The sequence below is a fragment of the Homo sapiens genome, chromosome 6 (genome assembly GCF_000001405.40).
Source record: "Homo sapiens chromosome 6, GRCh38.p14 Primary Assembly".
In the NCBI taxonomy this organism is placed as follows: Eukaryota; Metazoa; Chordata; class Mammalia; order Primates; family Hominidae; genus Homo; species Homo sapiens.
Window position 1 is genome coordinate 29,392,306 of NC_000006.12, and position 27,407 is coordinate 29,419,712.

At 36.9% G+C, this 27,407-nt stretch overlaps 1 protein-coding gene and 1 pseudogene across 2 annotated transcripts; both read left to right on the forward strand.

Moving 5' to 3' along the window:
• Window positions 3,326–5,703, forward strand: OR12D2 (olfactory receptor family 12 subfamily D member 2). Its single transcript, NM_013936.4, has 2 exons — window positions 3,326–3,510; window positions 4,393–5,703. Exon 2 carries the CDS (start codon window positions 4,395–4,397, stop codon window positions 5,316–5,318), a length of 924 nt encoding a protein of 307 aa, NP_039224.2. The 5' UTR covers window positions 3,326–3,510; window positions 4,393–4,394; the 3' UTR covers window positions 5,319–5,703.
• OR12D1 (olfactory receptor family 12 subfamily D member 1 (gene/pseudogene)) lies at window positions 24,760–26,091 on the forward strand (annotated as a pseudogene). Its single transcript, NR_145489.1, has one exon. The product of NR_145489.1 is annotated as an olfactory receptor family 12 subfamily D member 1 (gene/pseudogene), transcript variant 1, noncoding (transcript).
• The last annotated feature ends 1,316 nt before the right edge of the window (window positions 26,092–27,407 follow it).

Here is a 27,407-nt window from a genome sequence, read left to right on the forward strand (position 1 = left end):
GAAAAAAAAGAAGTAATGATTTTTCCTAACTTATGAGATATTAAGACCTACAATAACATCATATTACTTAAATTACAGCTTATTCAATGGAAAAAATAGTAAGTGGAGAAACAAACCATGTATTGAGGGGAACTTGGAATAGTATAAAGATGGCCTCACAAATCGATGAAGAAGGAATGGTTAGTCGGTCTACATAGAGACAACCAGAACCAAGACTAGCTGATTATCTCACAGGATATGTAAATATAACCTCTAGAAGACTAGAGTCCTAAATGACAAATATAAAACTCTAAATCTAATTAACAGAACCAGTTACATAATCTTTAAGTTTCAATGCAAGATAAAAAATGATAAAATTGAAGTGGGGGACATTTTGAAAAAATGGAAATTACATTGCAGTGATCCCTAAAACTAAAGAGCCTTATTTTGAATCCTAGTTTCACAATCCATTGCAAGGAAAAGGAAACTTTACTTAAATCCTTTGAGCCTTGGTTTTCTTGTAGTAAAGGAATAATTTTAATACTTTTACATTGGGTTTTTGTGAGAATTAAATGAGCTAATATATGTGAAGAACTCAGAACAATAACTTATACATAATGAGCATGCAATAAATGTTATTTATTTATAATATATTAGCAGTATATAAAATAAGGAATTATTTGTATGTGGAATGGCTCATACCTATAATCCCAAAATTTTGGGGGGATGATATTGGTGGATTGCTTGAGACCAGGAATTAGAGGCTGCAGTGAGTTATGATTGCATCACTGCACTCCAGCCTGGATGACAGAGCAAGACTCTGACTCAAAACAAGAAAAAAAATTAAAGATTTAAAAAAAAAAACAAAATTAAAAAATTAAAATAAGATATTATTGTGATAAATATATATAATAAACTTTTGCCAAGCAACAAAAATGGAAACTCAATAGAAAGACGGAAAAAATACATCACAGTTACAACTGTTAGTAGAATCCTTGGATTGATGGAAGGTCACGCATAGATACCCTGGTGTAATTCAGACAGAATTTTCTTACCTAAAAAATAGCAAAAAGTAATGCTACACATTGGTAAGACCAAAATCCTTATCCCAAACAGAGAAAAATGTGAGCTTTTGGACCCCAAAATTAATTATTTAAAATAATTTAGTATTATTAGCAACAGTGAAGAGTAAGATGTAGAAGGTACAAAAGTAATACTATTTCTCTTTATGTCTCTTTCTTTGGTTTTCATAGAACCACAGTAGAATATTAAAGATAATCATCTTTCTGTACTGATCAATGGAATGTGGGTGACCATATTTATTAATTTTTATTGCCAATTTTCTTTCACTTTATATACCAAAATATTTTCCAAGGGAGCCCTCAAGAAGAGAAAGTGAATCTGAACCTCTACCATAGGAAATGAAAGGAAATTTGACTAGGAAAAAGTATTTTAAATAAACAAATAAATATTTTAAAAAACAGTATTGTGAAAGGTCAAATAAAATATTGGGTTACTATTTTAAAGAAAAAATCCAGCAAATATATTAAGCTATTGAAAACTGTCTTGTCCATGGTTATGAAACCAAGGAACAAACATATTAAGAAAAAAAGATAAGAAGAACGACAACAACAGAAAAGTGGAATTCTACAGAGAAATTCCATATGGCTATCCCCTTATGCTGCAGGTGCAGAGAGACCTCCTGTTTATTCTCACGACAATCCTTCTCAGCACCCAGGGGACAGTTTCTCTCAGGTTTTTATGTCTAGAGATCTGCAGCTCATTGGAAGGCAGGCAGATTTTCAGAGAGGAAAAGATTTTTGAAGATAATTTATGCTGCAATCCCAACATCAACCATCACTTCAAATATTTTTCTATTTATAATCACTGGGAGTATAAATCTGAAAAGCTCTTTTACCTGTGATTCTGAACTCTCAATCCGGGTGAGAGAATAGAATAGGAGACAGGTTGGGAAGCTGCTCGTATTTTTTATCTGTTAATGAGTGACCTGACTGCTTGCGAGTATTAAAGTTAGATGCCCAGGATTTAGAGCTGGTTTCCTATTTTTATGATGGAGTCTTCATTGTAGTTGTAGATTATGAAAGCATTTTGTTTTCCGCACTTTTATTGCCATATCTCCTTCTCTATTCAACATGCCTGGCTCTCTAGATATTCGCTAAAGCAAATCTGAAATCCCTAAATATTGAAATTGCAGTGAAAGAAATATTTTCGTACAGAGAAGTTGGCTAAACAACATTCTTTAAACGTTAGGAAAATGTTGTTTTATTATTTATTATTTTTTAAATTTTCTTTTTACCAAATAGATTTTTGATACAATTTTATTTTATGGGTCAGAGAACCAAAAATAATATTTTATCTATCATTTGTACTTTTAAAAGACATGGTAAAAGTTTTGAAAAATATGCAACATACATGGCTATCAAATAAAGCTACTTTAAATTGTTTGGAGGCAGTCCTTCATGGAGGTGTGGTAAAGGTTAGATAATCTCTCAAAATTTCCTCTAGCTGTAAAGCCAAATATCCTATGGGCTCCCTAGAGATGTTTCCTAGTTCATTATTTTTTTTAACTTTAGTCACACCAAATCCTTTTCTTCTCTCATCAGCAATTTTTCAACCTCGAATTATTCCCCATTTATAGGAAACACTCTAATGTCTGCATCTTTCTTCTGATTTCCTATTGGTTCTTATTCTTTTCTAAGTGCCTGCCATTTCTATGGATTTCCCACACATTCTTGCTTCTTTTCTCCTAATATGCAAAAGTTAATCCACTACATTTGTACAAGAAAGGAACAAACAGGAAGCTATTTCACAAAATTATGTCTGCTTTTGTCAGTGCACCTATAGAAGATAATCCCAAGTACTTTGCAAATAATGTTAGAAAAAACCTTCAAAATATATTTCTGCCTTTCAGTAAACAGTATAAATTTAGTCAAATATTAAACCTCATTATAATTATCTTACTTATAATCCCTCATGTGTTTTAACAGTTACTGAAAAAATTCTATTATTTCAATTCTGCAAAAGAAAGAAAAATGAATACATTTCTTTCATAGAAAATGGAAATTTTATCTGATGGAAAGAAGGGGCAAATAGAGAAAACACATTTTACAAATGAAAAAGGCTAGAAATGTGTGGCAACTTTGGAGAGAACTGGTATGAAGCCAACAGACCTCTGGGTTGATGGAGGAGAACCTGACTGTCAGTGTCACATTGATGAAACTAGAAGAAAAGAGAAAATTCACTTGGATACAATGTTTCTTCACATCTAAAAAGTGAGCTTATTTCAGGCAAAATAAAAATAAGACTTAAGAAAATGCATCACAAGAGAAGACAGAACTTTCAGTGGTCTAAATTCTTAGATACTTTAGAAGAAGACACTATTGGGTAAAATGAAGGAAGAATTGTTGAGTCTATTGGAAGAGTTTTTCTTATTCAGAGATTCAGGGGTGTGAAAAAGGAAAAAGTCTCAGTGCAACTGGAAACTAAAGGAACAATAACATTTGTCATCAAGTAAGTAATTTGGGATTTACTTTGAAAAAATTTAAAGGCTTAGGTAGAAGAAACTAAGCACATTATCTGATATAGCAGTGATAAAACTTCAAATATACCTCAGGCTAATATTTGATTGATGTATTATTTTTTCCTTTCCCAGTAGAGCTCCATGACATTGCCAGAGATGTGGGTTAGAAAGAGATCAGTAAGAGAACATCTCCAGCCTCATCTACGTTCTAAGATGAGAACAAAATAATTACTACTATTTTAAAGAGGTTTTTATATCTCTTTAAAGACTTTGTGATTATAATGAGTTCATTTTTATCTTCCTCTCTTTTTTTTTTTTTTTTTTTTTTTTTGAGACGGAGTCTCGCTCTGTCGCCCAGGCTGGAGTGCAGTGGCGGGATCTCGGCTCACTGCAAGCTCCGCCTCCCGGGTTCACGCCATTCTCCTGCCTCAGCCTCCCATCTTCCTCTCTTAAGTCAAAAAATTTCAGGAGCCATTTTCCTGGGTCAAGAGATATCCAAGTGGTGGTGCACTTAAAAACTGCCCCCTATTAATGCTGACTTGGGATAGGAAAGGAAAGTTGTAACAGAATACGGATGTATTCTTCTCAACCAGAGAAGATGTAAGTTAGCAACATGTTCTAAATCCCCAGAAGAAAGAAATACGTTAATGATAAACTTAATTTTAAAAAGTGGTTAAGTCATAGTCCATAATATGCATGAATCCTTAATATTGAAGAGACCAACAGCTAAGCTTCTATACAACTTCTGAGGTTTGGAAGAAGTACAACAGTACTCTCCTTCCAAGTATCTTTGGCTTGGTGAGAAAATTCTGAGCCGGAAGGATTCTGATTGCGATTAGTGTTCCATAGATTATTTTGTCTTTTGTCTGAAGTGATGCTGAATACAACCTCAGTCACCGAATTTCTCCTCTTGGGAGTGACAGACATTCAAGAACTGCAGCCTTTTCTCTTCGTGGTTTTCCTCACCATCTACTTCATCAGTGTGACTGGGAATGGAGCCGTTCTGATGATTGTCATCTCCGATCCTAGACTCCATTCCCTTATGTATTTCTTCCTGGGAAACCTGTCCTACCTGGATATCTGTTACTCTACGGTGACACTGCCAAAAATGCTGCAGAACTTTCTCTCTACACACAAAGCAATTTCTTTCTTGGGATGCATAAGCCAGCTTCATTTCTTCCACTCCCTGGGCAGCACGGAGTCCATGTTGTTCGCCGTGATGGCATTTGACCTCTCTGTGGCTATCTGCAAGCCACTTCGCTACACTGTCATCATGAACCCTCAGCTCTGTACCCAGATGGCCATCACAATCTGGGTCATTGGTTTTTTCCATGCCCTGCTGCACTCCGTAATGACTTCTCGCTTGAACTTCTGTGGTTCCAACCGTATCCATCATTTTCTCTGTGATATTAAGCCATTGCTAAAGCTGGCCTGTGGGAACACTGAGCTTAATCAGTGGCTACTCAGTACTGTCACGGGGACAATTGCCATGGGCCCCTTCTTTCTGACACTTCTCTCCTATTTCTACATTATCACTTATCTCTTCTTCAAGACCCGTTCTTGTAGCATGCTCTGTAAAGCACTGTCCACTTGTGCCTCCCACTTCATGGTAGTTATTCTTTTCTATGCACCTGTTCTTTTCACCTATATCCATCCTGCGTTAGAGAGCTTCATGGACCAGGACCGGATTGTTGCCATCATGTACACTGTGGTCACTCCTGTACTAAACCCACTGATCTATACTTTGAGGAACAAGGAAGTGAAGGGGGCCTTGGGTAGAGTGATCAGAAGGCTTTGATTTGAATAAACCAGAGAACTCTACTGAGGCATAAATAACCAGCAATGAAAAAGTAGAGATGTGTAATTTTACTGCTTCTCAGATGGTTTATAAGTGTAAAATAGAGGCAACTGGATAAAAGAAAAAAAAGTCCAATCTAGTTGTAGTAAACAATACATTTCTAAGTAATATGAGGAATACTTGAAAATGCAAGACACTAGCCATGGAACCCTAATGCTGAAAATTTTTTGGAATATCAGTTGATGTAATTGACTTATTATGTATTCTAACATGTACTTGTATGCAATTGCATGTAGAATTTTGCCTATATTGCCCATGTATTGTATAGATAGATGATATTTAGGACTGTTTGTCTGTGAGATCCTTTTAGTTTAACACATTTTAGTCTGATCAATAAAATTATTATGCTTTTTTATTTTAAGGATTGTCATGTAGGGCTATGTTTATTCAATTGGAAAAGTAAATGCTAACTTGCATATTATTTAAATAAATTTTAAAGAGGTATGTCATGATTTCTTTTCAGTTCGGTTGGTTTTTGTTCTTTTAATGGTGATTCAAAATGCAAAAGACATAGAAAGATGTCAAATGTTTCTCCCCATCTCTGCCCTCCGTCACTGACTTACTCTTCATATGCAATCAATTTAATCAGTTGTTATCTGTCCTCACAGAGATCCTTTATGCTACACAGTCAAATACAAATATTTTCTTTAAAAAAGAATGGCAATGAACAATACATGTTATATGAGCAAACCAATGTTGAGGGCAATGTGTATCTTGGAGATCTTTCCCTATTAGAACATAGAGCTTCTTTATTTTTTTAACATGCATGGTATATGCCACTTTGTTCATGTATTATATTTGATAGATCAGTCTCCTATCATTGGACATCTATGTTATTTCCAATCATATGTTGCAGTGTATAATCTTGTGTACACGTCATTCTATATATGTGCAAGTCTATTTGTAGGACAAACTTCCAGACATGGAAATGTTAGGTCAAGAGATATCGTTATTGTAATTCAGATAGATACTGCCAAATTGCCCTCCCCAGAGGTTATAAAAAATTTCATCACCACTTGCAATGTAAAAGTGTTTAGATTTTACACTACATTGAATATGAATAATGCCAATGACTTATTTTGTAGATGCTTCCCTGAAAATATTCTACTTTTACAGCCTGGTTATGTAAAAAATGACATCCTAAAGACACTTTCCATAACATGGAAGTCTGCATAATTCTGCCATTGTTATAGAAAGTTTTCAGACTATTTGAAGCCCAAGCAAGATGGCAACTGGGAGAAAGGAAAAGCTAAGATTACAGCAATTCTTGTCATTGTTAGCTGGCACACAGGCAACATGAAGTGTTTTCCCCTACTTCAGCATAAAATACTTAAAACTTTCCTCTTACTACACCAACAGTTATTCATGTGAAAAATTAATCAATTGTGTTGTTTATTATTTTAATCAAAAAAAGCTCTACAGGTGTTAGATTTATGAAAGTCCTGCACAAAATAAAGGAAAGGTGCCCTAAAAGACCCACCGTTTAACTAAAGAAAATGAATCTCACACAGAGGACATGCTGCAGAGAGAATGAGCTACTGAAACACACTAGAATGTTTCATTTCTTTTATGACACAAAAAGAATAGGAAAGAGTGGAAAAAGGGAACAAACTTTTACTAAAAGTTGACAATTTTATTTTTACATTTTATAATACAAATGAAAAATGCTTTTTACTTGGTCCAGAGAGGCTAATAAGTAATTAAATTGAATGACATTGCAACCACTAATTAAGAGATAAAACAACCAATTGTTCAGCTAAGAGTTCTGGTACCTATATCTTCAGAGATGTTTTAGAAGTCAACTGGCCAGACTTCAAGGATTACTATGAAATACCATTAAAAGTGGAGCTAGGTAAAACAAACAAACAAACAAAAAACACCTCAAGAATCACTTTGTATCTCATTAGAGTGTTATAACCACTCGTATCTCTCCACCCTTGGTCATGAAAGATGATGACTTTAAACACTCTATTATTTTGGTTTCGTTTTCCTTTATCTGTCCTTATTTTGACAGACTGTAATGCATGTAATATGATGAAATACAGGTGAAATACAAAAAATTCATGAAAATTTATTTTTCTTTTCCTTTGGTACCAAACTCATACTAAGTGAAAACAATGAAATCATAACTGTGGAAGTATTTCTGGAGCTAATAGACAAGAATAGGTATGATGTTTCTTAGTTTCTAAGTACTTAGAAATGGATTCTGGCTCTGAAAAGATGTGGTATGCCAACATTTGTAACTATTTAGAGATACAAATAGACAAGACTATGGAAGCTAAGTTGAGCGGGTGGGCTGACTATTCAAAACCTCTGCCTTCACTTTTGCAAACCCAAACGATCTGACCTCTCTCTGGTACTTCTTCTATCTTCCAAGTCAACCTTCTTTGGTCCTTCAGTTCCAGTTTTGTTGATGAGAGAATGCCTGTGTGGAGAAGACACTATCCACCTGAACTATCTCAGACTATCACTTCTGTTGCTCAGAGTTTATTGCATAATCCCATCTACATGGAAGCTGTGAACTGTAGGAAAACACATGGGTTCTAGTTATCTACTGCTGCATAACAAATAGTAGCCTAAATCTAAATGGCTTAATTTATTTAATCAAATCCCAGGATTCTGTGGGTCAGAAATTGGGGAGGGCACAGCAGGAAAGGGTTGACTATGCTCAGTGATATCTGGATCTGCTCTCTCTCTCTCTCTCTCTCTCTCTCTCTCTCTCTTTCTCTCTCTCCAGTTTCTCAGTTGACTGTCATGTGCTTCTTTAACAGGGAAGCCTCGGGACAGACTTTTTCATGGGGGACAGCAAACCAAGACAAAAATTGTTAGTTGTCTCAAAGACAAAAACCAAGAACCAGCATTAACATAACTTCTATCATACTCTATTGGCCAAAGAAATCGCAGGCCAACTGAGCTTCTGTAACCTTCAATGGAAAGAGTGTCAAAAATTGTGTGGACATCCTTAATCTACCACAGTCCCATATCTAACCACTAATAATTCATGTTGTTCCCATATGCAAGGTACACTTACTCCTCTTCCTAATAATCTTAAAATCTCATCCCTTTATAGCATCAGCTCAAAGTCTAGGTTTTTAAAATCCAAATCATGACAAAGTGCAAATGGGGCATATTTAGTATGATTCCTCAAGAATGGTTCCTTTTGACCTGAAGACCTTTGAACTTGAAGAAGTCAGGTTATCTTCCTGTCACACACTCAGCACATAATGATAAAGTAGATATAAGATGACAGTAATAGAAAATGTTACTCCAAAAGAGAAAAAATGGGAGGCACATAACAGTTACATAGCAATTGTGAAACCCATTTGGGGACATTTTTCTCACTCCGTCCTCTAGAGTCTAAGATGATGCAATTGAAACTGATGATACCAATAAAATTCTCTCTCTTCTTCTTCTTCTTTTTTTTTTTTTTTTTTTTTTTTTTTTAACACGGATCTCACTCTGTCACCCAGACTGGAGTACAGTGGGACGGTGCAATCTCGGCTCACTGCAACCTCCACCTCCCAGGTTCAAGTGATTCTCTCAACTGAGCCTCCTAAGTAGTTGGGATTACAGGCATGTGCCACCATGCCCGGCTAAATTTTGTACTTTTAATAGAGACAGGGTTTCCACCGTGTTGCGCAGGCTGGCCTCAAACCCCTGATTTCATGTGATCCACCCACATGAGCCTCCCAAAGTGCTGGGATTACAGATCTGAGTCACTGTGCCTGGCCCACCAATAATATTCCTTTTAAAATATTTTAGGTTCTTAGGATTCTTATTTGGGTTTAGTCAATTAGATAAGTACCACACTCATACATCTCCTTAGGACAGGCCTTTCTCTGACTTGGGCTGACAATTAGTGTACTGTGAGACAACACCCTTGAGATTTCTCTCTGTCTGTCTTCATGCCAGTAGAATACTGTTTTATTTACTGTACCTTTGCAACATCTTGGGAAGTCAAGAAGAGTGATACCATCTGCTTTGCTATTCTTTCTGAAGATCACTTGGGCTATTTGAGGTCTTTCTTGAATAGTTTTTTCCATTTCTGTAAAAAATGCTTTTGGGATTTTGATAGTGATTGCATTGAATTCATAGACAAGTTATGGTAGTGTGGACATTTTACAATTTTAATTCTTCTAAGCCCTGAACATAGGTTATGTTTCTATTTATTTGAGTCTTCTTCAATTCCTTTCATCAATGTTTTTACAGTTGCCAGTGTACAAGTCATTCACTTCCTTGGTTAAGTTTATTGCTAAGCATTTTATTCTTTTTTATGCTATTTTAAATGAAATTGTTTTGGTTCTTCCTTTTCTGATAGCTCAGAAAAGCTAGATTGTTAATGTATAGGAATGCAATTGATTTTGTATGTTAATTTTATATTCAATTTGAATGCCTTCCATTTAATTAAAATAGTATAGTACTGAGATAAAGACAGACATACAAGCCAATAGAACAGAATGGAGAGTCCAGAAATAAATGCACATATATATAGTAAACTGATCTTGGACAAGATTGCTGAGAACACACAATGGAGAAAGAATAGTCCCTTCAATAGATGGTGTAGAATAAACTACATAGAGAAGAATGAAATTGGACCCTATCTCATACTATATACAAAATCAACTCAAAATGGATTAAAGATTTAAATGTAAAACTCCTAGAAGAAAAAGAATAAGGAGATAACTTCTTGATGTTGGTCTTGACAATGATTTTCTAGATTTGAAACAACAAAATAAAAAATAGACAAGCAGGACTATGTAAAGCTAAAAAGCTTCTTCACAACAAAGGAAATGATCAACAGAGTGAAAAGTCATCCTATGAAGCGGGAGAAAATATTTCAAACCATCTATCTGATAGGGGTTAATATCTAAAATACATAATAATCTTCTCAACTCAATAATATATACACACACACACACAACTTAAAATTGACAAAATAATTGAATAGGTATTTCTTTAAAGAAGACATATAAATGGCCAACAAGTATATAAAAACGTACTCAATACCACTAACCATCAGAAAAAGGCAACCATAGTCAGATATCACTTAACATATTTTAGGATGGTTATTATAAAAAAAAAAAGTGTTGGTGTGAATGTGGAGAAACTGGATCCCTTATACACTGAATATAGAAATTGCAGCCACTATGCAAAATGGTATGAAAATTCCTTTAAAAATTAAAAATAAATCTACAATCTGATCCAGCAATTTCTCTTCTGGGTGTATAGCCAAGAGAATTGAAATCAGGGCCTTGAAGAAATATGTGCAACACTCTGTTTATTTTGAAATTTTTTACAGTAGACAAAATACAAAAACAACCCAAGTATTCATTGGCAGATGAATGGATAAAGAAAATGAATATATACATGAATATTATTTAACCTTTAAAAGAAGGAGATCCTGCCAATTATTACAATATGGACAAACCTAGAGGATATCATGATAAGTAAAATAAGACAGTCTCAAAAGGACAAATGTTGCATGGCCATGCTTAAGTCAACCTCATAGAAATACAAAATAGAATGGTGATTGTAAAGGAATGTGTAGAGGGGGAGATGGGGAATTGTTTATCAGTGGGTATGGTATAAAGTTCCTGTTATGCAAGATAAATAAGATCTAGAGATCTGCAGTACAACATATTACCTATAACTAGAAAATAGTATTTTGCACTTTAAAATATGTTAACAAGACTATAGATCTCATGATAAGTGCTTTTACAGAAACAAAAACAACACAAAAGAGCATGAGGACATTTTTGGAGGTGGTGGATATGCTTACTACCCTGGTTGTGGTGATGATAGTATGTGTACATATGCCCAAACTCATCACGATGTATACATTAAAGACATATAATTTTTTTATGTCAATTGTACCTCAATAAAGCTAAAATAAGATTTCTGGAAACATTTTTGCCTCTAGCTGGAAATGTTGACAAGGCATGTCCATAAGACTCGTAGTGACCTCTGTGTCTAACATAGAGGGCTTAAGAGGCCTGTCTTAAGATTTTTAGAAACTATTCTAGGCTTCCCCATTATCTTTCTGAGCTTTCAACAATGGGTATTATAGTCACATCCTTGGGATCTTTACCTAAAAACCATACTTCACTAACAGCACCTTGGAATATGATCTTTGCCCTGAAGCCATTTCTTACTTTGAGAAACTTCTACCATCTAGACTATTTAGCACTAATATACAGTTTAATTTTTTGATCCTAGGAAGTCCTGGAATCTAGTTTTCCTCTAAATACTGATTGAAAATTGAATGCCTTGTTTTTTAGTTCATCTTACGTCTGCCCTATTTTGTAATAGTCAGCTAAAAGAATCTGTTGGAACTTTCACTATTTTGATGGTTTTTATGTCAGCTTGACTGAGGATGTCCACACTTTATTTAATTGAGCAGTTTTCTGGATGTGTCAGTGAGGATGTTTTTAGATGAGACTAACATTTGAATTGATAGATTGAGTAAAGCAGATTATCCTCCCTAATGTAGGTGGCCATCATCCAATCAATATTCTGTTGACTCTGTTTCTCAGAAGAACCCTGACTACTACAATCATTCTTCCTAGTAAGCACCTTAGCAACATCTGGGTTCAATAGATATCCTTTCTATCTTCTTTGTTACTGTGGATAGTACATGTCTACTGTACTACATATTACTATAGATAGTGGATGTCTCTCTTGACCGCCAGGCCAACAATTAGAGTTAAATCCCCATAAATTAATTAGGGTTGTGCTAGAGATGTTAAAATAGAAAAGAGATTAAACTGACAGGAGTGCAAATAGTAGTTACAATGTGCCAGCAGGAGTACCATGGGATTGAATTTTGAGTGTGCATGATCAAGGGACTAGAACACTAAACTGGATAAATGAGAATATATTAACTAGGGGACATTGAGTTCTTAGACACGGAATCTGGGGCTTAAGTAAATGTGCTGCTAGTGTGGCTCTTACAAGCACAGGGAAGGCATTGGCCCATGATGATCAAAGTTAAAATTACTGAGTTGCCCTGACAGATGGTATGGAAAGGAATAAAGAGACTCAGGAAAGTGGGGGTATTGGAAGAATATACTATATGTAGGTCAGAAAAGCCACCAGAATATTATGTTCCACAAGAGTACTCAGAGGAGACACACCATTCACAATTCAGAATGCTCTGGCAGAGGCGTTCTGGAATTACTAAGAAATTCAGTGGTGACTCTTTGTAGACCAGGGATAATGGTTACAGAAGTAATCACAGAGTTTGAATTGCTGGAGAAAAGGGGCCTACAGCAATAAAAATATATGGTAGCATTGAACCACTGGAAGCTAGTAGTTGGCAATTGCTGTAATCATCAGTGAGTCAAAAAGGTAGCCAAGTAGTCTTGACCTACAGGAAGCTGTGGTGATGGTTAATATAACATGTGTCCCTAAAGACGAAATTACAGGACAGCTGATGAGGTTGCTGCTTAAAAACTACAATCAAAAGAAGGCAAGAGTAGAGGAACAGGACACTGAGGGTGGTCTCTCTAATAAAATGGCCTAATTTCCTGCTCAGTTCACAGACGCAAGCTAATATTTAGGTGCATAACTTATTACCTGAACATTTAGTCATGTCCTCCAGAAAGAAGTGAACTTCAACATTGTGGTAAGCATTTACTGGAAAGACACCTATAGTTTTTCCCGAGAGGGAGCTAACATTATTTATGCAAATTACTGCACACTGGGAAAGGGGGAATACCCAAATATTTCAAGTACAGTTGTCTGAGTTGACACCGATACTCCAAGAGCCAAAGCATCACCATGGCCCAAATGTTACAATGAGCATACAGAAGCCAGATTACGAATGGAGTCATGTTAAAGTTTAGCTTACAGTACGTCACCCAGTACTGTAGGCACATCCAATAGTCGTTCCCACAGTCACTGGCTATACGATTAGGACTGATATACTTGGCAGTAAGAGAAGCCTCTACATCAGTCCTTGGCCAGTGGGAAATGCGCTATCGTACTGGATAATGCCAACTGGAAGCTTTGAAACTGCCCCATCTGGCAAGGATATTAAACTAACAACAATATCACATCCTGGGAAGGATAGCCAAGATTAGTGCCCCCTTAAATATCTAAAGACTGAAAGATCACTTGCAAAAAACAGATAAATCCTGAATAGCTGCAGACTAGTAGTCTTGATCACAGCTGTCATGTCAGACATGGTATCATTGCTAGAACAAGTTAACAGGGCTTCAGGTAAATGGTTTTTGTCCATTGATATGGCAAATGCATTCTTGTTTCTTGGGAGCATCCCAAGAGTGACTGTTTCAGGAGATCTATTAAGAAGTTGTAAGGTTTCTTTTAACGTACCTTCGAAGTTCCAGAACATCATTTTTGTTGCATTCTATTGGTGAAGTCACTGTGCCAGCCCAGGTTCAAGAAAAATGAACCACACAGGGCATCAATGCTGAGAGGCATGGTTCACTTGGCATCCATGTGTCTAGACTAGCTACCACATTGACTTGAGACTCATTTTGATAGTCCCGTCTGAAGATTAATGTATTTGTTTTTACCTAGCAAAAACATACATGGTGCATTGTATGTGTCAGACCCTATTCTAAGTACTTTATACATATTAGCTCATTTAATCATCGTAACAACCTTTATTCTTATTTTACAGATGAAGAAATACAGGAACAGAAATGTTAAGTCATTTGCCCAAAGTTTTTCCGACAGTGATTAGCAATGATAGATGTAAGCCCAAGCAGAATGGCTACAGTCATTTTCTTGAAAATTACACTGTGCTTTCTCAGCTGTTACATCTTTAAATACAGACCATTCTCTTTGTGCTCTTTTTCTGGACCTCCTTTCTAACAGATGTGCTGGGAAGTTCACAACGTATTTCCTGCAATCAGGCAAGAGAAAGAAATAAAGAGTATTCAATTAGGAAAAGAGGAAGTCAAATTGTCTCTGTTTGCAGATGACATGATCGTATATTTAGAAAATCCCATCATCTCAGCCCAAAATCTCCTTAAGCTGATAAGCAACTTCAGCAAAGTCTCAGGATACAAAATCAATTTGCAAAAATCGCAAGCATTCCTATACACCAACAACAGACAAACAGAGAGCCACATCATGAGTGAACGCTCATTCACAATTGCTACAAAGAGAATAAAATACCTAGGAATACAACTTACAAGTGATATGAAGGACTTCTTCAAGGAGAACTGCAAACCAATGCTCAAGGAAATAAGAGAGGACACAAACAAACAGAAAAACATTCCATGCTCATGCATAGGAATAATCAATATCGTGAAAATGGCCACACTGCCCAAAGTAATTTATAGATTCAATGCTATCCCCATCAAGCTACCATTGACTTTCTTCACAGAATCAGAAAAAACAACTTTAAATTTCAAATGGAACCAAAAAAGAGCCTGCATAGCCAAGACAATCCTAAGCAGAAAGAACAAAGCTGGAAGCATCACACTACCTGACTTCAAACTATACTACAAGGCTACAGTAACCAAAACAGCATGATACTGGTACCAAAACAGATATATAGACCAACGGAACAGAACAGAGGCCTCAGAAATAACACCACACATCTACAACCAACTGATCTTTGACAAACCTGACAAAAACAGGCAATGGGGAAATGATTCCCTATTTAATAAATGGTGTTGGGAAAACTGGCTAGCCAGATGTAGAAAGCTGAAACACGATCCCTTCCTTACACCTTATACAAAAATTAACTCAAGATGGATTAAAGACTTAAACATAAGACCTAAAACCATAGAAACCCTAGAAGAAAACCTAGGCAATACCATTCAGGTCATAGGCTTGGGCAAAGACTTCATGACTAAAACACCAAAAGCAATGGCAACAAAAGCCAAAATAGACAAATGGGATCTAATTAAACTAAAGAACTTCTGCACAGCAAAAAAAAACTATCAGCAGAGTGAACAGGCAACCTACAGAATGAGAGAAAATTTTTGCAATCTATCCATCTGACAAAAGGCTAATATCTAGAATCTACAAAGAACTTAAACAAATTTACAAGAAAAAAGCAACCCCATCAAAAAGTGAGCAAAGGATATGAACAGAAACTTCTCAAAAGAAGACATTTATGCAGCCAACAAACATATGAAAAAAAGCTCATTATCACTGGTCATTAGAGAAATGAAAATCAAAACCAAAATGAGATACCATCTCACGCCAGTTAGAATGGTGATCATTAAAAAGTCAGGAAACAACAGATGCTGGAAAGGACATGGAGAAATAGGAACACTTTTACACTGTTGGTGGGAGCGTAAATTAGTTCAACCATTGTGGAAAACAGTGTGGCGATTCCTCAAGGATCTAGAACTAGAAATATCATTTGACCCAGCAGTCCCATTACTGGGTATATACCCAAAGGATTATGTATCATTCTACTATAAAGACACACACATGTATGTCTATAGCAGCACTGTTCACAATAGCATTGACTTGGAACCTACCCAAATGCCCATCAATGATAAACTGGATAAAGAAAATATGGCACGTATACACCATGGAATACTATGCAGCCATAAAAAGGGATGAGTTCATGTCCTTTGCAGGGACATGGATGACACTGGAAAGCATCATTCTCAGCAAACTATCACAAGAACAGAAAACCAAAACAGAGAACCGCTTGTTCTCACTCATAGGTGGGAGTTGAACAGTGAGAACACATGCACACAGGGAGGGGAACATCACACCCCAGGGCCTGTCAGGGGGTGGGAGGGTAGGGAAGGGGTAGCATTAGGAGAAATACCTAATGTAGATGACGGGTTGATGGGTGCAGCAAACCACCATGGTACATGTATACCTATGTAACAAACCTGCACGTTCTGCACAGGTACCCCAGAACTTAAAGTATAATAATAAAAAAAAGGAAGTTAAAAAAAATTACTAAGAGTTTCAAGACAGTGACCACAAAGCATTAAATCAAACATAGGGCCCTTCTGAGTGCAGGGTCCTTTGTGACTGCATGGGTCGCAGGCCCATGAAGCTTCCTTTGTAATAAAAGAAAATTTAAAACAAATAATATGTACAATCACAAAGAGACAATACATAAAGAAGAAAATTGCTGATCATGACTTCATTAAAATAGCGAATGGCTAGTCAACTAAGAAAATTGTAGATAAAATTAAGATGAATAATATTTGAAAGAGCACAATACAGTGATCACTAGAACTAAGGAGCCTCAGTTTGAGTCCTGGTTTCACAATATATCACAAGAAGAAAAATTTACTTAAATCCTTTGAGCCTCAGTTTTCTTGTGATATAAGATAAATGACTGTATTACTTACTTCATTGGGTTTTTGTGAGAATTAAGAGAGCTAATAGATGTAAAGAACTTAGAACAATACCTTACACATAATAAGCATGCAATAAATAGTATTCATTTGTATTATATTCACAGTGTATAAAATAACAAGAAGTTGAGGGCTGGCCAAGATGGCCAACGAGAAGCACCTATTGTGCACCGCTGTCACAGAGCAAAATAGAAGAGGCAAGTAAATACAGTATCTTCAACTGAACTGGGTACGTGCATTGGGATTCATCAAGAAAACAACCCAACCCACAGAGAACAGAGAAAAGCAAGGCAGGAGAACCACCCACTTGGGAATGACATGTAGCCAGGGTAGCCTCCCCTGCCCAGAGAAGTGGTGAGTGAGTGAGCGACCTTGGGAACCCATACTTTTCCCACAGAACTTTGCAACCCTCAGGTCAGGAGATCCCTCATGAACTCACTCCACCAGGGCCTTCAGTCTGACATGCAAAGCTATGTGGAGTCTCGTCAGAGCATCCACTCAGGCACACTGGAAGCCACAGGAGCTTAAGATACCCAGGCTTCCCAGCAAAAGTAACTGCAACTCTGGCAAACTGGGAGGTTAGACACCCCCCCCCATATATACCCCTAGAAAACGGTCTAAATCCACGGGGCTGAGCAATGACTATCTGCAAGCCCCATTTCCATGGAACATCACAGGATAAGACCCAATAGCTTTGAACTCTAGGCTGCCATGGGTAGCAACATTATACCTCCCTGAGATGGAGATCTCAGAGGGAGGCTTGGGCTGCCTTCTTTGCTGTTTCATAGCCTTAACCATTGGTGCCTTCAGGCTCTGGGGAATCTGAGGTGACTAGGGACTGGAGTGGTACCCCAGCACAACATAGCAGCTCTACAAAGAGATGGCCAGACCACTTTTTCATGTGGGTCTCAGATCCCATTTCTGTTTACTGGGAGGAATCCCCTGACCGAGGTCTACAACCACTTCTGCTGGTGTTTTCCGGCCAGTAGCAATCCCAAACCTCCCTAGCAGAGCTCCCAGAGGAGGGGTAGGCCTCCATCTTTACTGTTTTGCAGGCTTAGCCATTGTCACTTTTGGGCTTTGGAGAGCTGGAAGCAACTGGGGGCTGGAGTAGACCCCAAAGACAGCATAGCTGCTCTATGAAAAAGTGGCCAGACTGCTTTTTAATGCACCTCCTGATCCTGTTTTTCCTCACTGAGTGGGAACTTCTGGGATCCCCAGCCAACCCTGCCAGTGTGTTTGGGCTGGTAACAGGTCCATTCCTTCCTGGAGCAGAGCTCCCAGAGGGAGGCGCAGGCCGCCATCTTTGCTGTTTGACAAACTTCACTGTTGATACCATCAGGTACTGGAAAATCTGAAGTGACTAGGGACTGGAGCAGATCCCCAGAATATGGTAGCAGCTCTATGGAAAAGTGGTCAGACTGTATGTTATGTGGGTCCCCAATCCTGTATCTTCTCCTGGGGCAGATCCTCCCAGCCTAGTCTCCAGTCACCCTTACACTGGGACTATTGAGCCAGTAGCAGTTCTGCAATGCCCTGGGACAAAGCTCCCAATGGAAGGGGTGGGTTGTCATCTTTGCTTTCTCACAGTCTTCATCCTTGTGTCCCCAGGCCCTGGAGAGTCTGTGGGACCAAGGGCTGGTTGGGACCCATAACACAGAGCATCCACATCATAGAAAAGTGGCTGAACTGTTCTCCATGCAGATCCTGATCCTCACTTCTCCTCACTGGGCAAGGCCACATGACCTGGGACTCCAGCACAATCACCCAGCTGCCACCTGACCACTTCAATCAGAGGCAGTTCTGCAGTTAAAGGAACACTCACACACAGAGATGAGAAAAAAAAAAAAAGAACTCTGGCAACTCAAATGGTCAGAGTGTCTTATGTCCTCCAAATGATCACTCTAGTTCTTCAACAAGAATTCTTAAGCAGACTGAGATGGCTGAAATAACAAATAGAATTCAGAATATGGATAGGAATGAAGATAATTGAGATTCAGGAGAATGGCAAAACCCAATCCCAGGAAGCTAAGAATCACAATAAAACGATACAAGAGGTGACAGACAAAACAGCCAGTATAAAAACAACCTAACTGACCTGATAGAGCTGAAAAACTCACTAAAATAATTTTTCAATGCAATCACAAATATTAATAGCAGAGTAGACAAAGCTGAGGAAAGAATCTGAGAATTTGAAGACAGGCTCTCTGAAATAAGAGAGTCAGACAAAAATAAAGAATAAAAGGAAAAGGAATGAACAAAACCTCTGTGAAATATGAGATTATGTAAAGAGGCCAAATCTACAAATCACTGGTATCCCTGCAAGAGAGGGGGAGAAAGCAAACAACTTGGAAAACATATTTCAGGATATCAACCATGAAAACTTCCCCAATCTTGCTAGAGAGGCCAATAGTCAAATGCAGGAAATACAGAAAACCTCTGCAAGATTCTAGACAAGAAGATCATCCCCAACACACAAAATCATCTTATTTTCCAAGGACAAAATGAAAGAAAGAATGTAAAAGGCAGCTTGACAGAAAGGGCAGGTCACCTACAAAGGGAACCGTATGAGGCTAACAGTGGACCTCTCAGCAGAAATGTTGAAAGCCAGAAGAGATTGCAGGTCTATATTCGATATTCTTAAAGAAAAATTTCTTTAACCAAGAATTTTATATCCAGCCAAACTAAGCTTTCTCTGTGAAGGAGAAATAAGATCTTTTCAGACAAGTAAACATTGAGGGATTGTATTACTAGACCCACCTTACAAGAGATCTTGAAAGGAGTACTAAATATGAAAAGAAAACACCATTACCAGCCAATACAAAAACACATTTAAGTACACAGACCCGTGACACTATAAAGCAACCAGACAAACAAGCAGGCATAATAACCAGCTAACAACAAAAAGACAGGATTAAATCTACATATATCAATACAAACATTGAAAGTAAACAGGCTAAATGTCCCAATTAGAAGGCACAGAGTGGCAAGCTGGGTAAAGAAGCAAAATCCAATTGTATGCTGTCTTCAGGAAACCCATCTCACATGCAATGACACCCATAGGCTCAAAATAAAGGGATGGAAAAAATCTGCCAAGTAAATGAAAATCAGAAATAAGAAGAGGTTGCAATTCTAATTTCAGAGAAAAACAGACTTTAAACTAACAAAAACGAAAAAAGACAAGGAAGGGCATTATCTAATGATAAAGGATTCAATTCAACAGGAAGATCTAGATATCCTAAATATATATGCACCCACAGCAGGAGAATCCAGATTCATAAAGCAAGTTCTTAGAGACCTACAAAGAGACTTAGATGCCCACACAATGGGAGTCTCCAGTAGGGTATTTCAACACTCCCCTGACAGTACTAGACAGATCATCAAGGCAGAAAATTAACAAAGATTTAAACAAAGATTGAACTCAACATTGGATCAAATAGATCTGATAGACCTCAGAACTCTCCACCCCAAAACAACAGAATGTGCATTCTTCTCATCAACACAGGCACGTACTCTAAAAATAGACCCCACAATTGGACATAAAACAATCCTCAGCAAATGCAAAAGAACTGAAATCATACCAAACACATTGGTGGACAACAGCTCAATAAAAATAGAAATCAAGACTAAAAAAATCACTCAATCCATGCAATTACATGGAAATTAAACAACTTACTCTTTAATGAATTTGAGGTAAGTACTGAAATTAGTGCAGAAATCAAAATGTTCTTTGAAACTATTGAGAATGAAGATACAACATACCAGAATCTCTGGGGCACAGCTAAGGCAGCATTAAGGGGGAAATTTGTAGCACTAAATGCCCACATCAAAAAGATACGAAGATCTCAAATTAACAACCTAACATCATAAGTAAAAGAACTAGAGACAGAAGACAAAACCAACCCAAAAGCTAGCAGAAGACAAGAAATAACCAAAATTAGAGCTGATCTGAAAGAAATTGAGATGAGAAAAACCATACAAAAGATAAACGAATCCAGGAGTTTGTTTTTTGGGAGAATTAATAAGATGAATAGACTCCTAGCTAGATCAATAAAGAAGGAAAGAGAGATGATCCAAATAAACACAATCAGAAATGACAAATGGGATGCTACCATTGACCCCACAACAATACAAATAATCATCAGAGACATGATGAATCATGAACACATATGCACATGAACTAGAAAACCTCGATGAGATGGATAAATTTCTATACACATACATCCTCCCACGTCTGAACCAAGAAGAAACTGATTCTGTGAAGAAACCAATAACGAGCTCTGAAATTGAATCAGTAATAAATAGCCTACCAAACAAAGGGGGAGTGACTCCTCCCCAACTCATTCTATGAGGCCAGCATCATCCTGATACAAAAACCTGAAAGAAACACATACATGAAAGGAAAACTTCAGGCCAATATTCTTAATGAACATAGATGCAAAAATTCTCAACAAAATGCTAGCAAACTGAATTCAGCAGCACATCAAAAAGCTAATACAAAATGATTAAGTAGGCTTTATCCCTGGGATACAAGGTTGGTTCAACATTTGCAAATTAATAAATGTGATTCATCACATAAACAGAACTAAAAACAAAACTCACATGATTATCTCAATAGATAACAGAAGAGGCTTCCAATTAAGTTCAACATTGCTTCATATTAAAAATTCTCAATAAACTAGGTATTAAGGAAAATACCTCAAAATAGTAGGAGCCATTTATGACAAATCCAAAGCCAACATCATACTGAATAGACAAAAGCTGGAAGCATTCCTCTGGAAAACCAGCACAAGACAAGGATGTCCTCTCTCAGCACTCCTATTCAACATAGCATTGGAAGTCCTGGCTAGAGCAATTAGGCAAGAGAAAGAAATAATGGGCATTATAGGAAGAGAGTAAGTAAAACTATTCCTGTTTGCAGATGACATGATTCTATATCTAGAAAACCCCATAGTCTTGGTCAAAAAGCTCCTTCAGCTGATACACTATTTCAGCAAAGTTTCTGGATACAAAATCAATGTACAAAAGTCACTAGCATTCCTATACAGCAACAACAGTCAAGCTGAGAGACAAATCAGGAACACAATCCCATTCACAATTGCCAAAGAAAGAATATAATACCAAGAAATGCAGCTAACAAGGCAGGTGAAAGGTCTCTACAATAAGAACTACAAAACACTACTCAGAGAAATCAGAGATAATACAAACAAATGGAAACAGATTTCTTGTTCATGGGTAGTAAGAATCATATTGTTTAAATGGCCATACTGCCCAAAGCAATTTACAGATTCAATGCTATTTCTATCAAACTACCAAAGACATTCTTGGTAGTTTCTAAACTAAAGTTTAGAATACTAGAATAAACTAGTTTATTCTAGAAAAACACTTTAAAATTCATGTGAAACCAAAAAAGAACCTGAATAGCCAAGCAATTCTAAGCAAAAAGAACAAATTTGGAGGCATCATGTTACCCTACTTCAAGCTATACTACAGAGCAACAGTAGCCAAAACAGGTTTCCTGAAAAATACCAGGGTATTCTTTCAGGAAAGTCCCAAAAATGGGAAAGTAAATCCATATCTCTGTCCTAGGAAATAAAAAGAAATTTGACTAAGAAAACATATTAAGCCATTGAGACCTGTGTTGGCCATAGTTCTAAAACTAAGGAACAAACTTAGTAAGGAAAAAAAAAAAACAAGAATGAAAAAAACAAATGAAACTTCACACAGGAATTCCCCAAGGCCACTGATTCATATTACAGGTGTGGAAAGGCATCCTGCTAATTCCTAAAATCTTTCTCAACACCAGGGGACACTCTCCCTTTGGATTTCTATGTCTAGAGACCTGTGGCTCATTAAAAGGCAGACTGATTTTTCAGAAAGAGAGAAAGAGGTTTTTAAAGATGAGTTTATGCTGCAATCCCAACATGAACTATTACTTCAAATATGTTTTAACTTTTATAATCACTGGGAATATAAACATGAATAGCTTCCTTAACTGTGAATCAGAACACTCAATCAGGTAAGAGAATGAACTAGGAGACAGGCTGTGAAGTTACACATAATCTCAATATGTTAATGAATGATCTATCTACTTGCTAGTATTAAACACCCAGTATCTAGATCTCATTTTCTATCTAATGGTGGACTCCTCATTGTGTTTGTGAGATATGAAGGCCCTTGACTTACCATGTTTTTATTGCCATACCTTGTTCTCAATTCAACATATCTAGTTCTCTAGACATTATCCAAAGCAAACATGTGATTTCTAAATGGTGAAATTTCAGTGAAGGAAACGATTTACTACAGACCACTCTGACTGCTAATTTTCTCAGAAGCTAGGAATATATGTTTTACCATATGGATTTTTGGGACAATTTTGTTTTCTGGGTCCAAGAACCAAAAATTATATTTGAAATATAATTTGTATTTTAAACAGGAGTGGTAATTTTTAAATATACAAAATATACATGGTCATTCAAGAAAGTTATTGTGAATTATTTGAAGGCAGTCCTTCATGGAGGTATAGTAAAAGTTAGATTGTTTTTCAAAACTTCTTCCCAGCTATGAAGCCAAAAAACCCATGGGCTCTCTAGAAGTGTTCCCTTGTTCATTATTTTTTTTTACCCTAGTCACATCAAATTATATTCTTTTCTCCTCAGTGGTTTCTAAAACCTTGAATGATACTCCTTTTATAGGAAGCACTCCAATGTCAGCATCTCTTTTCAATTTCTTTACAGTTCTACTAGCTCTCTCAGTGCCTCTCACTTCTGTAAGTTCCCCACACATCCTGACTTCTTCCCTCCCAATATACAAGAGCTAATCCATTACAGCCTAATGAAAAGAACAAAGAAGAAGCTACTTCACAATATTATGTCTGCTTTTATTAGTAAACCTAATGAAGATAATACCAGTACTTTGCAAATTATGGAGAAAAAATTTTTCTAGAAAATGTAATGGATCTAGAAGAGAAGAAGGTGAATTTCACTTGAGGTAGAATATTCCTTAATATCTGATGAGTGAGTTTATTTCAGGCAAAATAAAAACAGAACTTAAGAAAATAGATCACAAGAGAAGACAATTTCAAGAAGGCTGAATATATATTTTGAGGAGAGGTTAGTATTGGTGAAAAAAGAAGAGAAACTACTGAATCTATCAGAGGAAATACTATTCTTATCCAGGGATTCACAGATTTCCTAGGAAAGAAAGAGTCTAAGATCAACTGGTGAATAAAAGCACAATAACATTTGCAATGAAAAAAATAATTTGGGATTCTATTTCAAAAAATGTATAAAGGGTCAGATTATAGGAAGAAACTGAGCTCATCATCAGATATAATAGTGATGAAATTTTAAATATTCAGGTTAATATGTGATTAATGTGGTCATGTTTCTTACCCCAGTAGGTCACTGCGACATTTCAGGGATGTGGGTCAGGAAGAGATCAGTAAGAGAATATCTCTAATTCATTTACATTCTAAAATGAGGAAATGCAATTACTACTACTCTTTCAAGATTTAAAAAAAAAATCGTGGTTTTGATGCATTGAAACCTGTCTTTTTATTTAAGTTAACATCCTACTGGTGGTTTCTTACTAGGCCAAGAGATAGCTATGTGGTATGCTTAAAAATTGCCCCCTGTGAGAGCTGCTTGGGAAGATGAAAGGAAAGCTGTGACCGAATGAAGATATTCACAGGCCCAGAGATGTGGCTAATGCCTGTAATCGCAGCACTTTGGGAGGCCGAGGCAGGCAGATAACTTGAGGTCAGGAATTCAAGACCAGCCTGGCATACACGGTGAAACCCCATCTCTATTAAAAATACAAAAATTAGCCAGGTGTGGTGGTGGACTCCTGTAATCCCAGTTACTTGGGAAGCTGAGGCGAGAGACTCTCTTGAACCCAGGAGGCGGAGGTTGCAGTGAGCCAAGATCACACCACTGCACTTCAGCCTGGGAGAAAGAGTGAGAATCTCAAAAAAAAAGAATGAAAATATTCACAGCCAGAGAAGACTGTAGGCTAGCAACGTTTTCTGATTCCTGGGAGAAAGAAATATATTAATGAAAAACATAATAAAAAAATAGTTGTGTCAGAGATCATAACAGATATATATATATATATCTTTAATATTTAGCCATCTAAAAGCCAAAAATGTAAAACTTGTGAGGTTGAATCATGCAAAACAACAATACTCTCCCTCCAGATATTCTTGGCTTGGTAAGAAAATTCTGAGCTGGAAGGATTCTGATTGTGATTAGTGTTCCATACATTATTTTGTCTTTTGTCTGAAGCAATGCTGAATACAACCTCAGTCACTGAATTTCTCCTTTTGGGAGTGACAGACATTCAAGAACTGCAGCCTTTTCTCTTCGTTGTTTTCCTTACCATCTACTTCATCAGTGTGGCTGGGAATGGAGCCATTCTGATGATTGTCATCTCTGATCCTAGACTCCATTCCCCTATGTATTTCTTCTTGGGAAACCTGTCCTGCCTGGACATCTGCTACTCCAGCGTAACACTGCCAAAAATGCTGCAGAACTTCCTCTCTGCACACAAAGCAATTTCTTTCTTGGGATGCATAAGCCAACTCCATTTCTTCCACTTCCTGGGCAGCACAGAGGCCATGTTGTTGGCCGTGATGGCATTTGACCGCTTTGTGGCTATTTGCAAGCCACTTCGCTACACTGTCATTATGAACCCTCAGCTCTGTACCCAGATGGCCATCACAATCTGGATGATTGGTTTTTTCCATGCCCTGCTGCACTCCCTAATGACCTCTCGCTTGAACTTCTGTGGTTCTAACCGTATCTATCACTTCTTCTGTGATGTGAAGCCATTGCTAAAGCTGAGCTTAATCAGTGGCTGCTCAGTACTGTCACAGGGACAATCGCCATGGGCCCCTTCTTTCTCACATTACTCTCCTATTTCTACATTATCACCCATCTCTTCTTCAAGACTCATTCTTTTAGCATGCTCCGCAAAGCACTGTCCACTTGTGCCTCCCACTTGATGGTAGTTATTCTTTTGTATGCACCTGTTCTCTTCACCTATATTCATCATGCCTCAGGGACCTCCATGGACCAGGACCGGATCACTGCCATCATGTATACTGTGGTCACTCCAGTACTAAACCCACTGATCTACACTTTGAGGAACAAGGAAGTGAAAGGGGCCTTTAATAGAGCAATGAAAAGGTGGCTTTGGCCTAAAGAAATCTTGAAGAACTCTTCTGAAGCATAAATAAACAATTAAAAAGATGAGTTTGTAATTACATTGTTTCTTAAATTATTTAGAAATGTACAACAGAGGGAACTGGATAAAACAAAAATATATGGAAAAATATGCTGTAGTTGTATTTAACAATGCTTTCCTGGATTATATAAGGGACATTTGAATGAATGGGATACTAGCCATGGAACTCTACTGCTGACTATGTTTTGAAGATATCAGTTGATAAAATTGATGTTAGGTTTTTTATATGTTCTTATGATGAAATTGGGTATAGAAATATGCCTGTTTTTCCCATATATCAAATATATGGATAATACTTGGGTCTATTTATCTATCTGGTCCCTCTAGGTTAATGCATTATAATATTATAAATAAAATTATTATGCTTTGATATTTTGAGGATTTTACTTTAGGGCCATAGTTACTCAACTGGAAAAGAATATGCTAACTGACGTATGAGTTAAGGAGAATTTTTAAGGGGTGGGTCTTGATTTCTTATTCTTCAAACAAGGAGACAAGTAATTAAAGCAAATGACATTGTAATCACTAAATAACAACAACAACAAAAACCCTGACAGTTCATCTAAATAGTTTTGGCACCTCTGTCTCCAGATATCTCTTATTAGTCAACTGTCCACACCCTCAATGATTACTTAAAATATTAAAAATCGGAGATAATTTAACAAAGCTCTTAAGACTCTTTCAATCTCGTTAGGATGTTATTGTTCCCTCAGCCTTTAATTGCGGAAGATGACGACTTTATCAAAATTTTATTTTCTTTTTCTTACTTGGCACCAAACTCATACTAAGCAAAGGCATAGAAGTCATAATTATTGAAGTATTTCTAGACATGAACTGCTATGTTCCTCACTTTTTAAGTTCCTATAAATGGCTTCTGTCCCTGAAAAAATGGTGGATTCTATAATTTATAAATATTTAAAGAATAGACAGAAAATACTATGAAAAGGCATTTTAAGCTGGTGGACTGACCCTTCAAGGTCCCTGCATGCACTTTTGTAAATCTAAACAATTTTATTCTGACTTCTCTCCATGCTTCTTTTGTCTTCTAACTTCACCTTCTTTGGTCCCTCAATTCCAGTTTAGTTTATAATAAAACAAAACAACAATGTGTGTGTGGAGATGGCAACTCCTAATCTCAACTGTCCCACACTATCAGTAATATATTTGATGCATATTTTTATACAATATGTTTTTTCTGTCATTTCTGGTGGTGAGAATCTGCCACATAATTCAAACTTCAGAGAGTTTGTGAACTGTAGAAGAGCACATGGGGTTCTGGTTAACTATTAGTGCATAACACATTAGGACCCCAAAATTCAATCGCTTAAAACACTTAAGTTACATGCTTTGTTGGGTAAGAAATTTGGAAAAACACAGCAGAGAATGGTTGACTCTGATCCATAATGTCTCTGACCTTTGCTGGAATGACTTCAGTCTGGTCACGGAATAGCTGAGAGCTGAGTAAGTCTCTCTC